Source organism: Homo sapiens, chromosome 5 (assembly GCF_000001405.40).
Source record: "Homo sapiens chromosome 5, GRCh38.p14 Primary Assembly".
Lineage (NCBI taxonomy): Eukaryota > Metazoa > Chordata > Mammalia > Primates > Hominidae > Homo > Homo sapiens.
In genome coordinates this window covers 172,341,683-172,361,047 of record NC_000005.10, presented here as the reverse complement: position 1 = coordinate 172,361,047, position 19,365 = coordinate 172,341,683, and the positions used below count along the sequence as shown (strand labels likewise).

At 50.0% G+C, this 19,365-nt stretch overlaps 1 protein-coding gene across 3 annotated transcripts in view; it reads left to right on the top strand.

Moving 5' to 3' along the window:
• The window catches only part of SH3PXD2B (SH3 and PX domains 2B), a 129,345-nt gene that overhangs the window by 93,478 nt on the left and 16,502 nt on the right, over positions 1–19,365 (top strand). For 2 of the 3 annotated variants that reach the window (NM_001308175.2, NM_001017995.3), the window contains exons 8-12: positions 2,171–2,275; positions 7,043–7,160; positions 10,459–10,685; positions 13,716–13,765; positions 14,787–14,912. In NM_001308175.2, coding sequence (NP_001295104.1) covers positions 2,171–2,275; positions 7,043–7,160; positions 10,459–10,685; positions 13,716–13,765; positions 14,787–14,912 — 626 coding nt within the window. Of the gene's footprint in view, positions 1–2,170; positions 2,276–4,273; positions 4,358–7,042; positions 7,161–10,458; positions 10,686–13,715; positions 13,766–14,786; positions 14,913–19,365 lie in introns of all 3 variants that reach the window. The other variant, XM_017009351.2, reaches the window with a different exon arrangement.

The window sequence follows — 19,365 nt, the reverse complement described above, 5'->3', positions numbered from 1 at the left end:
CTGCAACTTTTTTTAGTTACTATCTAGCTCCTCTGATACTTTTTCACATCTGCGTAGTATTCAGTGCCCGAGTGAGCCATGTTCATATATTCATATTCGTACTCCAGTGTGAACATGTCTGTGTGCACGTCAGTGTTTCTTTAGGTTAGATTCCAACAAGTGAAACAGCTGGACCCTAAGATACACATATCTTTTTTTACTTATTTAGTTTTTTTGGAGACGGAGACTCACTCTGTTGCCCCGGCTGGCATGCAGTGGCACGATCTTGGCTCACTGCAGCCTCCACCTCCCGGGTTCAAGTGATTCTCCTGTCTCAGCCTCCCAAGCAGCTGGGACTACAGGCACATGCCACCATGCCTGGTCAAGTTTTGTATTTTTAGTAGAGACAGGGTTTCACCATATTGGTCAGGCTGGTCTCGAACTACTGACCTCAGGTGATCCACTCGCCTCAGCCTCCCAAACTGCTGGGATTGCAGGCGTGAGCCACTGTACCTAGCCAGGACACACATATTTTAAATTTTAAGATACCACCAACTTGTCTGCTTCCAAAACAGTGGCTGTTTTGATTTATCCTCCCTCCAGCAGTGTGTGAGGCATTAGTGAAAATGGTTAAGAGCTCAGAGACCGCCTTGGTTTGAATCCTGGCACTGCTGCTTTCTATCTTTGTGACTTTGAGAGAGTTGCTGAGCCTCGGCTTCCCCATCTGTAAAATGGCAGCAATAATAATACACACCTCATAAGGCTGTGGTGAGGATCTAGCAAGCTAGGAGTGGACGTGCAGCACTTGGGACAGTATCTGACACATCACTGTTGCCATTGCTATCATTGTGTTATGACAGTTTCCTTATCTTCATACAAATATTTACAAATACAAATATTTAGAAAATCGTAGACCCACCATGCATGAGCCACCACGCCCGGCCGACAGCACATATTTATTATCTAATAGTCTGTGGGTCAGAAGTTCAGCATGGTCTCACTGGCCTAAAATCAAGGGATCGACAGGGCCCCATTGCTTTCTTTAGGTTCCGAATAGGATCTGTTTCCTTGCCTTTTCCAGATCCTGGAAGCCGCCTTGGCTCATGGCCCTTTCTTCCTTCTTCAGCGCCAGCAATGTTGCACCTCTCTGTGTCTTTCCTCAACAGCCACATCTCCCCATGACTTCTGCCTCCTTCTTGCATATTAAGGACCCCTGGGATTACATTAGGCCCACCCAGAGAATCTGGGATAAACTCCCTATTTTAAGGTCAGCAGATTAGCAACCTTAATTCCCTAGTGCCACGTAACTTCATATATTTACAGGTTTGAGGGATTCGAACACAGACATCTTTGTGGGGAGGGGGTCATTATTCTCCCTCCCACAGGCCCCATGCAGGCCTTTCTCATTGGGGAATGTCTGAGCCGGGGTGAGAGGCCTCTGAAGCAGATGCTAAATCTGCATCTAGGCCTTTACAGTCAAACAGCCCCGTGCACACGTCACAGCTCTACCGCAGCCACGTGAACTTGGACAAGTCGGTTTGCCTCTTTGAGCCTCAGTTTCCTCATGTGTGCAGTTGGGATGATAATGTGAAGATTGTATTTAATGCAAGTGAAATGATGGGTGCATCACACATCTTAGTGAAGGTGAACGTTCTTTATACTTTTTTTTTTTTTTTTTTTTGAGATGGGGGTCTCACTCTGTCGCCCGGGCTGGAGTGCAGTGGCACAATCATAGCTCACTGCAGCCTTGACCTCCTGGGCTCAGGTGATCCTCCCAACTCAGCCTCCCGAGTAGCTGGGACTACAAGCATGCACCACCATGCCTGGCTAATTTTTAAATTTTTCGTACAGACAGGGTTTTGTCATGTTGTCCAAGCTGGTCTTGAACTCCTGAACTCAAGCAATCCATCCAAAGTGCTGGGATTACAGGCATGAGCCACCGTGCCCTGCCTCTTTATTGTTGTCATTTAGGATGACTTTACTCTTCCCTGTCCCAGGCTCAGGAGCAAGTTTCTGGACCTGCTTTTAGCAGTTAGCAGGTAACATTGGTAGTTGTGTTCTACCAATAAAATGGTAACTTTAGCCTTACCCTGTGCATTCACTGGTACAGTGGCTGAATAGATTATTATGTTCTGACCCCCGGCCTCATGCTTGATGCAACTAACATCATTCTGCACTCTTGCTTCCCCAGGTTGGTGGTTCGTCAGCACTGCCGAGGAGCAAGGCTGGGTCCCTGCAACGTGCCTCGAAGGCCAGGATGGGGTGCAGGATGAGTTTTCTCTGCAGCCTGAAGAAGGTAGGGAGGAGCTCGAGCCTCTGCTCACTGGGGAGGACCTGTGCAGTCATCGCCTATACTGGGTTGCCTTTTCATCCAATCTCTTCTTTTGGCCTCTGCCTCTGCGTCTCAGCAGCTCACTGGCTGAGGCTCCATGGCCTGTGAACCAGAAACCAGGCCATGGTATTAGAGCTGAGGGGCAAGCCCGCCCTCTCTTAGGGGCCTTTGGTAGCAACCTATGTGAGCCTGGCCAGAGCTCGAGCCCTAACCCTTTCATGGGACCCCAGGAGGGCCCCAGCCTGATCGCCAAAAACAGTTCACTATTCCTCCCTCGAATTATTCTGGCGGCCAAGGTGCTGGAACTGCTTCAGCTCATTTGCAAGACATTTGACCCCATCTGTTTAAAAACCTCTGCCTTCTCTGTGGGTTTAAGTGGTCCTGACCAGGGGTCCCCCTCCACTCACCCACAGACACACTTCCGTTGTTTCCCAGAGAACCTTCCCTATGCATGTCCTGAATGGTGACTCCTGCCATGCCAGAAATGCTAAGTCCCAGCCAACTCCCTTTCCCCGCTAGAAACATTCCTAAAACTAGGGCAGTTAGTGAGTTCACTTCACTCATCAGCAGGGGCTTAGGAATCAGACACACCTGAATTTTAATCTCAGCTGTACCACTTCCTGGTTGAGTGGCCTTGGGCCAGTAATTTAACCTCTCTAAGCCTCAGCCTCTCATCTAAAAATGGAAACAATGATATCTATATCATAGGACTTTTGAAAAAATTAAATGAGATCCACATGCAAAGAACCTAGAACAATAAATGACCAGTAACAGTTATTATTGTATCAGCAATACCTGACCTAGAGTTGAGTTTGTTTGGCTTTTAGTTGACTGTTAAGAGAAAGCATGGAGCCACATAAAGCATATCTTTATTAGAAAAGAGGATGAGGAGAAGGGGGAAATTTCTGTGCCCAAAGGTTAGCAAAGCATTGACATATGGTTTTTGCATTCAGTTGTATTACAGCTAACGCCCCTCAGTAAAACATCTGTTGGTTTGCTCTGTGTTTGTGAGGCCCGCCAGGCACTGTGGGGGGTAACACAGGGTTACCATCAGAATCAACTCAGATTAAGGGGTCGTGATGTAGTGCATGGAAACTAGAGCCCTTGAGACGGTGAATGATGACCACCGTGAGAGCGCCTCTGTCAGGCACTCATTGCTGTCCCCATTTTACAGATGAGGAAACAGGGTCTGAGAGGTCGGGAGACTTGCCCAGGGTCACACAGCTAGAAGATGGGAGCGAGACCACATTTTCCTGAGTTTGTACATTTATTTTCTTCCCTCGACCACAGGTAGTACTTTCTTTTTTTTTTTTGAGACAGAGTCTTGCTCTGTCTCCCAGGCTGGAGTACAGTGGCATGATCTCGGCTCACTGCGACCTCCGCCTCCTGGGTTCAAGTGATTCTCCTGCCTCAGCCTCTCGAGTAGCTGAGATTACAGGCATGCACCACCACGCCCAGCTAGTTTTCGTATTTTTAGTAGAAACGGGGTTTCGCCATGTTGGCCAGGCTGATCTCGAACTCCTGACCTCAAGTGATCTGCCCACCTTGGCCTCTCAAAATGCTGGGATTACAGGCATGAGCACTGCGCCTGGCCCTTTTTTTTTTTTTTTTTTTTTTTGAGATGGGGTCTCACTCTGTTACTCAGGCTGGAGTGCAGTGGCATGAACACGGCTCACTGCAGCCTTGAATTCCTGGGCTCAAGTGATCCTCCCACCTCAGCCTAACACCTCTTTATAATCATGCTAGGAATGGAATTATGTCTACTAGAAGCCTCTTCACCCAAGTTCACGGTTAATACTCAGGAACTTGGTCTCCCTAAGATGCCTGGGGCTTGGATTAGACTCAGAGGTAATGCTCTCCTGGATGGGGACATGTGCTTGGTGCCACCTTTGCCTGTACACATTGTGGTGCTTTCTTCTCACCTCTGCCCTCTGCCCTTCCTCCCACATGCTGCCTATCCAGTCTCATGGAGGTATTGGTCTCTGCCCCGGCCGGTGGGCCGCCGCCGGACTCTGGGGGACTTGTATGCCATCAGCTGGCGTCAAGGTGCCTACCTCGGAGTTTTCTTCCCCGTTTGGTGTTTGGACCCAGGTCCCTGCACCTGCATGAGCCTCCCTGCTCTGGGACCACCCGTGCCTGTTGCATGTGAGAAACAGTGATGTCGTCTGTCTTGTGTGACATGTATGTTGTTGGCATGTGGGTTTGGGAGGAGTGAGCCTTGGGTATTTCTTGGCCTTGGGGATTTAAAGTTTCTCAGGTTAAAAATGATGCCTGTGGGTTTCTATAAGGCTGAACCAGTGACCTGTTCCTTCATTCAGGCTCATTTGAGTTGCAAGGGAAAGAAATCCATGTAAACCGGGTTAAGCAAAAGGGGAAGTGTATTGACTTATATCACTAAAAGCCCAGGGTAGGGCTAGCTTCAAGCAGAGCTGGATCTGGGGGTTTGAAACTGTCATCAGGATCTGGGACTCTCTCACCACCTCTCTGCTTGTTGGCACCATTCTCTCATGATGACAGCAGTTTCAAGTACCTTTAAGGGACATCACCAAAGAAAGAGCTTCTCCTTTAACACAAGTCCTAGGATTGTTTCCAGCTGACCCAGTAGGGTCACTTGCCATCCATAAAACCAGTCACGGTGGGCGGGAGTTGCAACACTTTGGCCAGGCCAGGGTCCGACACCTACTCCTTCCCTCCAGGAGGTGGTGAGCTTGGCCTCACCTAAGCCATGGGGACAAAGGCTGGTAGCACCACCAGAGGAAGGGCAAATGCACGCTCGGGAGGAAGCCCCCGCAGGCCTGCAGTCTACAGGGTCTTCCACCCTCTGCTGTGTGTGCAATCACTGAGCAATCCATGGATGCCAGAGAGGGACTCGGGTGATAGAAAATCCATCCATGGCTGGGCGCGCTGGCTCACACCTATAGTCCCAGCACGTTGGGAGGCCGAGGCGGGCGGATCACGAGGTCAGGAGATCGAGACCATCCCGGCTAACACGGTGAAACCCCGTCTCTACTAAAAATACAAAAAATTAGCCGGGCGTGGTGGCGGGCACCTGTAGTCCCAGCTACTCGGGAGGCTGAGGCAGGAGAATGGCGTGAACCCGGGAGGCGGAGTTTGCAGTGAGTGGAGATCGCGCCACTGCACTCCAGCCTGGGCGACAGAGCGAGAATCCGTCTAAAAAAAAAAAAAAAGAAAAGAAAATCCATCCATGCAACTCAGCTGAAGGATGCAGGACCCCAGGAGTCCAGGCTCAGAGAACTGACTGCACTCTTTCTGGGACCCGGGTGGCACCCTTTCCCACCTGGACCAAACAGAACTTCTGTGCATCTGGGGTTGGATTCTTCCCTCCACCCCTCCCAGCCCAGCAGCCTAGCCTGCAGCTTCCGTGAAGGAGGGGAACGGCGGACTGTGCTGAGCACAGGATATGTGCAGCTTGAGTCAGCTCGGCCCCCGCCGAGCAGGTCAGCAGGCTAGATCAATAAATAAATAAACGCCCTGTGTGTTTTCCGCCTCCCTCTGCACCAGCTGGGCAGGCCGCGGACGGCATGTGGTATTTTCCCAAAGAGATAGCGACTGCAGCAGCATATTAACCATGACACCAGGCCACAGCTGGCTCAGGCACTCAACCAGGGGCGGAAATGTAACCAAAACAGGAGAGCCCTCTCCTCTCCTTGCTGGGCTCCCTTGAGACACACATCCATTTTTCTCCATTTCAGCTGCCAGAGCAGATAACACTGGGGGTGGGAGCTGTTCTAGCTCTGTGGGACACCCTGCCAGAGTGCAGCGATGAGCAACCCGCCCTGCCGAGCCCAGGCCCTCCAGGGCTACTGTGGGAGGGACGCAGCTGGGGGCAGCTCTCAGGGAGGAGGGTGAGGCCATAAGGATGGTCCCACAGTTTCAGGGGTCGGGGGACCGCAGAGAGTGTGGTAGAAGACATCCCAGTCACACGAATGAAAGTTGAAGCTTCGAGCATGGTTGGATTCAAAGACTTGAACATGATTAATAAAAAGTGAAGATCAGCTGCCGGCAAGGTAATGAAAATTGTGCACCGTGTCCGCAGTAGTGATTTCAGCCTGAAACCCTCCACTGCCAAAGTTCAGCTTCTCCCTGAACTCTCCACCTGCAAGAGCTAGTAAGGAGCCACAGACAGCTTAACCTCCTCTGTGTGAGCAAGGTGGCTCCCACCCAGCCTTCAGGTCTTGCTCATTTACTGCATATTGACTGATTTGCTAAACATTCCAAGCACCATGCCCAGTGCTGAAGACACAGGAATGAACAAGACAGACAAAGAACTGCCTTCCTGGAGCTCATATTCCAGCAGAGGAAACAGACACACACTGAACGAAACACAATAAATAAGCCAAATACATGTCGTGTTACAAGGTAATTCCTAGTATGGGTGGGGGGCAATAAACCGGGATAAGGGGCATGAGAATGCCATGCATGGAAGTACTGTATAAGGTGGTCAAGGAAGGTGAACTCGAAGCACAGATTGAAGCAGGTGAGGCTGAGTGTGTGGCGCTGAGGAGTTTCAGAGGGATCGAGATCTACCCTTTGTCCTGTGTTCTGTTGCTGCTTGCACAGGGCTGTCCAGGGCTAGGTCAGGGCCAGGGGGGGTGCCCAGAAATCTCTGAAGGAAATCCTCCCTCCGACGGGCAAGGGCATCACGGGGATTACGGCATCCCAAGCCTCTTGGTGTCCTCTTCTGACCCCAGCTTCCTTTTGTCCCCACAGAGGAGAAGTACACAGTCATCTACCCGTACACAGCTCGGGACCAGGATGAAATGAACCTGGAGAGAGGGGCTGTGGTGGAGGTCATCCAGAAAAACCTGGAAGGCTGGTGGAAGATCAGGTACCAGCCGCTGCCCCCCACGGTTGCTGGGTGGGTTTGGGGTCACGCTGGGTGGGTTTGGGGTCACAGGGACTCTGGCCTCACAGAGGTCGGTAAGTGATTGCATCTGGGCGAAGTTTCCGCCTGAACCATAAAAGGATACTTCTCCTCTGTGTTGTGTGGCCTCCCTCCCTACCCATATCCTTCCCTAAAAGTCCATGATAAGCAAAACTTTCTCCAAACACACTGAACCACAGATAGCAGCAACCCCATTAAGCAAGGCTGGTTTCCACCTCCAGATGTTTCTCATAATGAGGAGTTGGAGGCCAAAGCTGCCCCATGTGAGTGACAGCCCCCTCCCGCCCCATTCTGAGAACAAGATGGTGCATAAACACTCATGGACTGTAATTCGTCCTAGGCTGATAATCTGCCCTCGTCTCTCAAAGTCCAATGGTAAAAGCAGGGCGTCTGCATTCCAAACACCTTTCACAGCCCTTTCACCTATGTGATGATATCAGAGCCTCCCAGGCAGGCAGGGTGGCCAGCTCGTCCTGCCTTGCCTGGTTTTAGTAATGAAAGTCCTGGGAACCCCTCCTTGATCACCCCCAATAGGCAGGATGTGACCATGGGAAATTAGGGCAAGAGAGGAAGCCGAGGTCCCTGCAATCTAGTGTCTGCGCTGTGATGTGTGGCGGGACATTCGGGCCATTTCCAGGAGGCTGAGCATGTAGCACTGCATTCATTCATTCATTCAACAAACGCACACCAAGAATCTCTGTTGGGCCCAGCCCTGTTCTGGGAGCTGAGGAGTCAACAGTGAGCAAGATACAATAGCTCACACCACCTGGTACAGAAGACAAACTCATAAACGGTGATAGAGCAGAGGGTTGGCCATGTTGGAGGGATGCATGGGGACTTTGGTACACAGAAGAGGGGCTCCTCAGCCTGGGGGTCAGGAAGGCTTCCTGAGGGAGATCTCAGAACCTAAATTTGAAAACGGATAATGATAGTAATAGTGTATTAGTCTATTTTCATGCTGCCGATAAAGATATACCCCAGACTGGGAAGAAAAAGAGGTTTAACTGGATTTACAGTTCCACATGGCTGGGGAGGCCTCAGAATCATGGCGGGAGGTGAAAAGCATTTCTTACATAGCATCGGCAAGAGAAAATGAGGAAGAAGCAAAAGTGGAAACCCCTGATAAATCCATCAGATCTTGTGAGACTTATTCACTATCACGAGAATAGCATGGGAAAGACTGGCCCCCATGATTCAGTTACCTCCGCCTGAGTCCCTCCCACAACATGTGGGAATTCTGGGAGATACAATTCAAGTCAAGATGTCGATGGGGACACAGCCAAACCATATCAAATAGCAGGCATGGGCCTGGCACGGTGGCTCATGCCTGTAATCCCAGTACTTGAGGAGGTAAGGCAGGAGGATCACTTGAGGCCAGGAATTCAAGACCAGCCCGGGCAACATAGCATGATCCCATCTCTACATAAAAATCTTTTAAATTAGCCAGGCATGGTGATGCACGCCTGTAGTCCCAGCTACCCAGGAGGCTGAGGCAGGAGGATCACTCGAGCCCAAGAGTTTGAGGCTGCGATGAGCTATGATGGTGCCACTCCAGCCTAGGCAGCACAACAAGACCCTGTCTCTAAAATTTAAAGACATTAGTTTTTTTAAACTTTTTAAAAAAGGATAACAAACATATATTGAATAGTATGTTATCTTGCTGCATAATAAATTGTCCCAAAAGTTAGTGGCTCTGGAATTCAGCAGTGGCTTAATTAGACTCAAGGTCTCTCCCGAGGTTATAGTTAGGATGTCAGTAAGGGCTGCAGTCATCTCAAGATCTGACTGATGCTAGAAAGTGACAGTCAGGATTTCAGCCCATTCCCTTCTCACCCCAGAGCCCAGTCAGCACTGCACATCGCCTCCCATCTTATGGCTCTGTGTCCCCAAACAATGAACTATGTCAAACTGAGCGTGTGGGTTATATACAGCCTGGCACTTTCTAATTAGGATATTCCCTCTCAGAGCATATTTTAAGATTGATAGACACTAAACTGCAGATTTCTACCTCCTTTTAAATTTGCTTCCAGTCAAGAGAGACCTTTTTTTTTTTGCATTAAAACCCAATGCTATTTAGTTCTTAAATTAATTCTTGACAAGAGATTCAGCCCTGCCATTGGGTCTGTTCAACTTTCCCCAAAGGTCTGGCCACCTGTTTTTTTGGGTTCTGGTAAATGTTTAACAACCAGCTCTCCAAGGAAAAATACTCTGAGTTACAGTGTTTGCCAGTTGCCATGGTGCAAATACTGCCACCATGGTCAATTTCAAGCTATCAGTGTGATGTCACTAAATGTAGAGATTGGGAGAGATGTGCCCAACTGGCTGTCACAGCTGGTGTGACTGACTGCAGCACACCCCTGGTCTAGATTGGCCCCTCTGGTCATTGCTGTTAAACTGAATTCTGGCCAAGCGTGGTGGCTCACACCTGTAATCCCAACACTTTGGGAGGCCGAGACAGGAAGATCACTTGAGTCTAGGAGCTCAAGACCAGCCTGAGCAACATAGCAACACCCCATCTCTACAAGAAATAATAAATAGCTGGGCATGGTGGTGTGTACCTGTAATTCCAGCTACGTAGGAGACTGAGTTGGGAGAATCGCTTGAGCCCAGGAGTTCAAGGCTGCAGTGAGCTATGATCGAACCACTGCACTCTGGCCTGGGTGACAGGGAGACCCTATCTCAAAAACTGAATGTCTCCTGCAGAGGATTAAGAGATGATGACACTCATTGAAGTCCCTTTTGGGAGGACACTGAGCTGCTCTGTCAGGGTCTCGATCACTCTGCGGTTTAGTGATGGCCAGCTGCCACTTGGCGAGCCCTGGACCCAGCCCTCAACCTGCTAATCCCATATGAAAGCATGTTTAATCTCCACGTTCATCAGCGTGAACAGATCTCCATCTGTCTATGCCAGGCTTTGGCCCCAGAGCTGGGGCTGCTGGGAAGAGGCAGCAAAGCACAGAGATTCAGAGCCCAGGCTGGTGCCCTGCTGGCTGGGTGGGACATGGTGGGTGCTGTAAGAGGGGCAAGTAGAGGCCGGGTTGGAAAGGCCTTGAAAATACCAAGCTCAGGGCTTAGGCATCATCAAGAGGAAATGCACAGTGTGTGCCAACCTCTTGCCCTGGGCAGTCACAACCCGTCGTTCCTGCTCCCTGGGACCTGTCATGTGATTCCCAGTAGGAGCAAGGCTTCTTCCCTTGGGCCTGGCGGAGCAGTTTGACAGCATCCTTCCTCCTCTTCACAGGTACCAGGGCAAAGAAGGCTGGGCCCCCGCCTCCTACCTAAAGAAGAACAGTGGGGAGCCCTTGCCCCCGAAGCCAGGCCCTGGCTCACCCTCCCACCCGGGTGCCCTTGACTTGGATGGTGTTTCCCGGCAGCAGAACGCGGTGGGCAGGGAGAAGGAGCTGCTCAGCAGCCAGAGGGACGGGCGGTTTGAAGGCCGCCCGGTGCCCGACGGTGACGCCAAGCAGAGTGAGTGACACCCGCCCAAGCTCCTGATAATCAGGGCCCCTGTGTGCCAGCTCTGTGCTCAAGGCGTCTCACATCGTCCCTCATCCTCACAGCAGCCCAGCTGCTCCCCCATCCTCCAGATAAGAAAACAGAGGCCCAGAAACCCCGGGTAACTTATTCCAGATCATTCAGCCCGTGAATTGCAGAATCTGAGTCAAGAGGCATTGCTGGCCGGGCACAGTGGCTCACACCTGTAATCCCAGCACTTTGGGAGGCCGAGGCAGGCCGATCACCTGAGGTCAGGAGTTCAAGACCAGCCTGGCCAACATGGTGAAACCCCGTCTCTACTAAAAATACAAAAATTAGCCAGGCGTGGTGGCAGCTGCCTGAAATCCCAGCTACTTGGGAGGCTGAGATAGGAGAATCGCTTGAACCCGGGAGGCAGAGGTTGCAGTGAGCCAAGATGCACCATTGCACTCGCGCTCCAGCCTGGGCGACAAGAGTGAAACTCCATTTAAAAAAAGAAAAAAAAAGGGGAGGCGTTGCTTTCCCATCCCAGGTTGCATTCTTTCTGCTATCTCACAGTGGTCACACTGGCTACTCTTTTTCAAGCACCTGCTACATGCCAGAAACCTTCTAATTAGTCTAATCGACTCCTCATAACTACCTTTGAGGGAATTACTACTTTTTCTGTTTTACAGATTGGGAGTCTGAAGGGTGAGAGGGTGTGCCCAAGGCCCCCAGCTAGTAGACGGCAGGGGCGGGGACTTGAACCTGGGGAGTGCTGTGCTCTCTATTGCTCCATGTGGCCTCGTTTCTAAGCCAGAGGAAGAAGATGGCCTTGTGGGCTCTACTCCAACACAGTGCCTCTCCCATCTTGCTTTTCAAAGCCTCCTCGTGTATATTTTACCATTTAATGTTCCCAACACACCTGAGAGTAGAGTTCATTACTGTTGTCGGCCTGGTCACACTGGCTACCATACCATGTCTGCATGGGCACGCTGGTGCCCAGGACTTACGCACAGTGCCCATGATCCTGTCTTGGCCGTGCAGGGCAGGTGAACTCTGTTGAGAAAGGACTTCCAGCTACCCACAGAGATGAGGCCACTGCCCCTGGCGGGGCTTCTCCAGCTGTTTTTAAGTGGCAGTGAACTTCTTGAGTCCGTCAACCAAGTTTCGTACTTTGCTCAGCTGCCCTGAGAAGTCACTGATCATGTTTTCTCACATGCTGTGGCAGGGGTTCTGGCCATCCCCGAGTTTGTGTGATTCTAATCTGTCAATCATGGCCAAGAGGTTAGATGTATTCCCATTAACTCTAGAGGAGCAAATGAAAATCTGCAGCCTCAATGTCTTTGTTAGTATATAGGTTCAGGCTGGGCACAGTGGCTCACGACTGTAATCCCAGTGCTTTGGGAGGCTGAGGCTGGAGGATCACTTGAGGCCAGGAGTTTGAGACCAGCCTGGGCAACATAGTGAGACCCCCCTATCTACAAAAAAAAATTTTTTTTAATTAGCTGGGCGTGGTGGCACACACCTGTAGTCCCAGCTACTAGGGTGGCTGAGGCGGGAGGATCACTTGAACCCAGGAGATTGAGGCTACAGTGAGCTGTGATTGCTCCACTGCATTCCAGCCTGGGCAATAGAGCGAGACCCTGTCCCTCAAAAATAAATAAATAGATAGATAGATAGATAGATAGATAGATAGATAGATAGATAGATAGATAGATAGGATAGATAGATAGATACATAGATAGATACATAGATAGATTCAGATGCTAAAACAAAGACACCCCCCTACCACCACTGAATATACACATATACACACATCCAATAAACGATCTAGATATGTATTTCTTTCTCACAAAACAGTCTGTGTATATGTTCAGGGTTAATATGGCAGCTCCAGGCAATCAAGAGTCTTATTACTCCACATCTATCTTGTTGCCCTCATCCCTCGGTCCAGAACGGCTCACTACTAGTCCAGCCAATGAAAAGCAGTGCATTGCACTCCAGCCTGGGTGACAAGAGCGAAACTCCATTTAAAAAAAAAAAGGCGTTGCTTTCCCATCCCAGGTTGCATTCCTTCTGCTATCTCACAGTGGTCACACTGGCTACTGTGTACACAGCTCAGAAGCCACACACTTTCTACTTTGTCTTACATCCCACTGCCAGAACTGAGTCACGTGGCAATACCTGGCTGCAAGGGTGACTGGAAAATGAAGTCTATATAGACAGCTAAGTGTCTTGGCCAATACTCTGTTGCTATTTATTCTAACAGAAGACAGGTAAATGGGAATTTAAGGGATTAGCAGTCTCCTCCGCACCCCAACGCCAAACTACCCTTCTGTATGGACCCGTGCTGAACCTGGCCAACATTCTGCCTTTAGCCAGGAGCCTTGGACCACTGCAAAGTCCTCATCCTCCTGGCCCTGAGACCCAGAGCCAGGGCAGCTGCCTCGAGAGTATAAACCCCTGAGTCATCGGCCCAAGTGTGTTTGGTTCAGTGTGTTTGTGTATTGTTGCGTTTGGGTTGTTCTAGAGCACAAAACCAGGTGCAGATAACATTCACTGCATGCCTGCCACATGCCAAGAGCTTCACAGATGTTTCCTTTCATCCTCACCGCTGCCCTGGGTGACACACATTATGCCAGTTCTACAGATGAGGGCCTTGTGGCTCAGAGAATCCAATCATCTGTCCAATGCCAGCAGCTGTGAGCCTCAGAGCTGGATTGGGACCCATCTCTGTGTTATTCTGAAGACTTTGCTTTTTGCCCTTTCTGGAGAATTTCCATGACTTGAGGATCCAGCACCATCCCCTTTCATTCCTGTGTAGAAAAGATGCAAGAAAAGCTACGTCGAGAGAGTCCTGAGCCAACTATGAGCCACGCGTGAGCAGCTCCTTCCTGCCCAGGCTGTTCTCACAGGGAGGGTTGCAGCAGCATGCAGACGCCTGTGTTCAATCTTCTGCAGGAGAAAATAGACCCGACCTGGCACCCAGCTCAGGAATCTCATCTGTAGCACAAGATGTAATAAGCTCTCATTTCTCCATAGGATCACCAAAGATGAGGCAGAGACCCCCTCCTCGCCGGGACATGACCATTGTAAGTGGATCCTCGCTACTGGGGAGTGGCCACTGACTTGAGGGCTGTGAGGGGTGTCCACTAGCCCCTCACACACCCCTCGCCCTTCCAGAAATGCTCTCTTTCCTGTCCACACAACAGCCTTGTGAAGCAGGCTGTAGAAATGCTAGTCCCACTCGCAGGTGGAAAGACGGAGGTGCAGGCAGGTGAAACAGTTTGCCCGCGGGGCCAGAGTGCTCCTGTGACAGTTGGGCCTCAGGACCTGCCTTCTGCTCCCTGGGCCCTTCTCTTGGTCTTAGATCAGTCTTCTCAGGCGACTTGAGGCCCAAGCTGAGATGAGACACAAATATCATCTGTGGTCCCATTCTGATATTCTGCGCTCATAATCCATTATGTAAAATTCTCTAGGTACCTTTTTAGCCAATACTTTGAACCCAATGGGTTGTTGTTGGGTTTTGGGGTTTTTTTTATTTGTTTGCATTGGTTTTTGAGACGGGGTCTTGCTCTTTTGGGGTTGTATTTTTTTAATGTCTGCTATTTATCAAGCACCTGTTGCGTGCCATGCAGCGTGCCGATTGCCTCACAACATTAACTAATTTAATACTTGAAGCAACCCCACCAGGTAGACACTGTTATGCCCACTCTGCAGGAGAGAAAACTGAGGCTCCAGAAGGGGGTGATTTGCCCAAGGACACTCCCACCATCAGTGTTTCCAACCCAGATAGATCTACTAATAAACTTAAGCTCCCTCCACAACCCTCACTGCCTCTTATTTCAGAGAATATTGTCTTGCTCCAAATTCTCATGATTGTACCCAAATGTCCCGTGTTTCTTCCCATCACCCTAAAGCTGATGGGCCAGTGAGGTCTCACCGAGGAGTGACAAACTGCGTGGTCCTATTTGTGTTGTCCCTTAGAATCCAACTAGGTCCCCAGCACCCCCTTAAGGGTGATTGCATGCCCCAGGCCCTTAGACTCCCCCTGACACAGGGTCGCAGGAGTGCACTTAGCCTTGGAGATAACCCTGTGTGTGATCGTACCAGCCTCGAGGCCTCAACCTGCCGAAGCCGCCCATCCCGCCCCAAGTGGAGGAAGAGTATTACACCATCGCCGAATTCCAGACAACCATCCCAGACGGCATCAGCTTCCAGGCAGGCCTGAAGGTCGAGGTGAGTGGCCCTGGTGTTCCTTTGCCTACTTGTGATTCCTGATTCCAGGCATCACCTCCTACTTCTCCCCTGTCACCTCCTACTTCACTGGGTGGGTGGAGGTGGGGCGGAGATTAACAGCTTTATGGTTCACATACCATACAGTTTACAATTTTAAGTGTAAAATTCAGCGGCTTATGATATTCACAGGGTTGCACAACCCTCACCACTGTCTAATTCCAGAACAAAAAGAAACTCCTTACCCATCAACAGCCACCCTCCATTTCCCCTCAACTTGCCAGCCCCTAGGCAGCCACCAATCCACTTTCTGTCCCCATAGATGTGCCTGTTTTAGACATTTCATATAGATGAAATCCCACAGTATGTGGTCTTGTGTGACTGGCTGTATGCCTTTCTTTACCACCTCCCACCTCCGTTCTTGCTTCTCCTCTCTCCTTTTCTTCCCACTCTCTCTGTTTGTCTACTTTGTTCCCCAGATTCTCTTCCTGCATTTCTCTTTCCTTTCCTCATGGGGTTAGAGCTTCAAGATATTTCTTTCTCATATTTGCAAGAAAACCTGTAAGTAAGGGGATGGCAGCTAGGGCCAGGGTTTGGAAACCTTTGGCAAAGATGGTTCTTGAGACACTTTCAAAAGCAGGTGAGCCAATCACAGGTATCACCAAATTCACTCTGTCATGTGTAAGAGTTGGTCAGACCCTCCCCACCTCACCTTGGGAGGCCAAGGTTCAATTTATTCATCTCTGCAACAAATAAAATGCTCCTGGATCTCCTACTATGGTTGTGTGTGGCGGCTGCTTTTCTAGGCCCTGAAGAGTTGTCGTCACCATCCTCTTTCCTTTAAAGAACACAGCTCTGGTCCCTGGCACAGAGCACTGTCTGATGGCACAGGGCAGTAGACACCATTGATCAGTTCACTCCAGCATACCTCTTTAGGGCCCCTCCCTTCCTTCCTGGCTATATTCCAGGAAGGACTATAGCCTGCCTGCCTGCACGCCTTCATTCCTTCCTTCCCTCCTTCCTTCCCTTCTTCCTTCCCTCCTTCTTTCCTTCCCTCCCTCCTTCCTTCCTCCTTCCTCCTTCCTTTGTTTTCCTTCCCTTCTTCCTTTCCTCCCTCCTTTCCCTCCTTCTCTCTTTCCTCCCTCCTTCCTCCTTCTTTCTTTCTCTCCCTCCTTCCTTCCTTTCCTCCATCCTCCTTCCTGCCTTTCTTCCATCCTCCTCCTTCCTTTTCCCTTACTCCAGCTTGCCAGCAGCTCCACCAGGCACAACATCTGGCCCAGGCCTTGCTGTGTACTACAGTCGAGAGGCTAGTTCTGCATCCTCTGGCCCCTGCTTCCAGAGGCATTGAAGTATCTTCATGTTTCACTAGAAGGAAATCCTTTTGTGTTTTCACTTTGCTATTATCTGAGTGAAGGGCTAAAGGGATGAGATTTGGGAAAATTCTGAATTGTGTTTTAATCCATTATAGAAAAATCTGCCCCTTCATACTCTTTCATTGTATACACATGTATTGAGTGCCTCCTTTTTTTTTTTTTTTTTTTTTTTTTTTTGACAGAGCCTCGCTCCTCTGTTGCCCAGGCTGGAGTGCAATGGCTCAATCTCAGCTCACTGCAACCTCCGCCTCCCAGGTTCAAGTGATTCTCCTGCCTCAGCCTCTCTAGTAACTGGGATTACAGGCGCCCAACATGACGCCCGGCTGATTTTTGTATTTTTAGTAGAAACAGGGTTTTGCCATGTTGGCCAGGCTGGTCTCGAACTCCTGACCTCAGGTGATCTGCCCACCTCGGCCTCCCAAAGTTCTGGCATTACAGGCGTGAGCCACTGCACCTGGCTAGATGTTGTTTTCTTATGATAGATCCATATGCTCTGTTTTTCTCTTCTCCAGTTTTGCTTCCTGGCTCATTGCAACATTATCTTAGCCTTCAAAATTCATTAATGGAACCACAGCATTCTAGCAGTAGGGCTACCAGTAACACCTTAGTTACTTGTCTAGGCTGTTTATCTTCAGGATGTGTTATGATAATGATGATGATGATGATGATGATGATATAGGCACCTCTTCTGTGTCAGGTACCTTACCTCCTTGATAACTGATCTTCACAGAAGTCCCAAGAGGTCAAAATACCAGCATCATAGGGTTGGTTGGTTAGTTTGTTTTTCTTTTTTTTTTTTCTATCAGCATGTTTTATAGATGAGACTCAGGGGGGTTAGGTAAATTATTTGCCTCTAGTAACACAGCTAGTAAGCAATGGAGTTGTGAAACCAGGTCTTTCTGGTTTTAAAGCCCACACTCTTTTCTTTCCCCTCATTCTTGTGATCTTTTTTTTTTTCTTTGAGACGGAATCTTGCTCTGTCACCCAGGCTAGAGTGTAATGGCATGATCTTGGCTCGCTGCAACCTCCACGTCCTAGGTTCAGACAATTCTCTTGCCTCAGCCTCCCAAGTAGCTGGGATTACAGGCGCCTGCCATCACACCTGGCTAATTTTTTTTTGTATTTTTAGTAGAGACGGGGTTTCACCGTGTTGGCCAGGCTAGTCTCGAACTCCTGACCTCAGGTGATCCGCCCGCCTAAGCCTCCCAAAGCGGTGGAATTGCAGGCGTGAGCCACCGCACCCGGCTTCTGATCTTGCATTTGCTTTTATTCCTAGTAGTTCTTGGCTTCCCTCTAGTAAATGAAAACGCCCATTCCTCATGGTTCAGAACACACATGTTCAGAGCTTCTACCACAATACTTTGCAAAGAGTGTAAGCTTGACAAATCTTACTGATACATCTAATATTGATTACCCTATTTTCAGTTCCTCACATACAGACTTAAGTATTAGTGTTGTTGAATTCATGGATGTGCTGACGATGACTCGTATGCCCAGTGTGGCCTGTAATTTTTACCAGAGCTATCAAGCGTTGATAAGATGCCAGTCATCCTCACATAAACAGCTTACATTTATCAGTGGCCTTTCCTGGAGATTCCAGTGGGACTCATTAAGTGCTGCCTGTCAAGTGCATCCCGCTGGCTCAGTGACCTCCACTCTAATTTAATCGCAGCAGCATTATTTACCAAGTGCTGTTGTATGCATTAGCTCTTGCGGCTGCAAAAATTCTACAAGTGGGTGTTAAATTGTTCTTACCATTTTCCTTCTGTGATGTGGAATCTGAGGCACGTGGCTTGCCCCAGGCCACTCAGGCAGTAAGTGGCAGAGCCAAGACTAGAACCCAGGACTGCAGGCCCAGGAGCCCAGCATTTGCGTCCTGGCGCTGAGTCTGTGGCTGCCATCCCTCTCCCAGAAGGGCCACAAAGTACCCGCAGCCATCTTTGCTCCTTCTGCAATTTCTTACCCCGGACACAGCCCTTCTCCAAGCAGGGTCTTTTTTTTTTTCGAGACAGAGTCTTGCTCTGTCGCCCAGGCTGGAGTGCAATGGCACGATCTCGGCTCACTGCAACCTCTGCCTCCCAGGTTCAAGCGTTTCTCCTGCCTCAGCCTCCCGCGTAGCTGGGATTACAGGCGCATGCCACCACACCCAGCTAATTTTTTGTATTTTTCGTAGACGCAGGGTTTCACCATGTTGGCCAGGCTGGTCTCAAACTCCTGACCCAGGTGATCCGCCCGCCTTGGCCTCCCAAAGTGCTGGGATTACAGGTGTGAGCCACCGCGCCCGGCCAGGGGTTTCTTTTCTGAGAGGCAAGATTAGGTGACTCTGAAGCCCACCCCGCTGCCTTTGACTCTCCTCCGATCGACGGCCCTTCTACAGGACCCGCTGTGTGTTCCTCAGCTCTCCTGAGGCTCCGTTCTGCATGCGTAAAATGAGGTGACAGTTCCCCACTCACAGGGTGTCATGAGCGTTCATCAGATCTTCCGAGTCCAGAGAGAGCCTACCAGGGAATTGCAGTGTACATCTGTGATGGCTGCCATAACAAAATACCAGACTGGGTGGCTTAAACAACTGCAGTTTATTGTCTCACAGTTTGGGAAGCCAGAAGTTCAAGATCAAGGTGTCAGCAGGTTTGGTTTCTCCTGTGTCCTCTCTCCCTGGCTTCCATATGGACACCTTCTTGCTGTTTCTCACGTGGTCATCCCTCAGTCCCTGTGTGTTTTCTAATCTCCTCTTCTTATTTGGACATCAGTCATATTGAACTAGGGCCCATGTATTAGGCCATTCCTGCATTGCTATAAAGAAATACCTGGCTGGGCACGGTGACTCATGCCTATAATCCCAGCACTTTGGGAGGCCGAGATGGGCAGATCACGAGGTCAGGAGATCAAGCCCATCCTGGCTAACACGGTGAAACCCCATCTCTACTAAAAATACAAAAAAAAAAAAATTAGCCGGGCACGGTGGCAGGCGCCTGTAGTCCCAGCTACTTGGGAGGCTGAGGCAGGAGAATGGCGTGAACCCAGGCGGCGGAGCCTGCAGTGAGCCGAGATAGTGCCACTGCACTCCAGCCTGGGCAACAGAG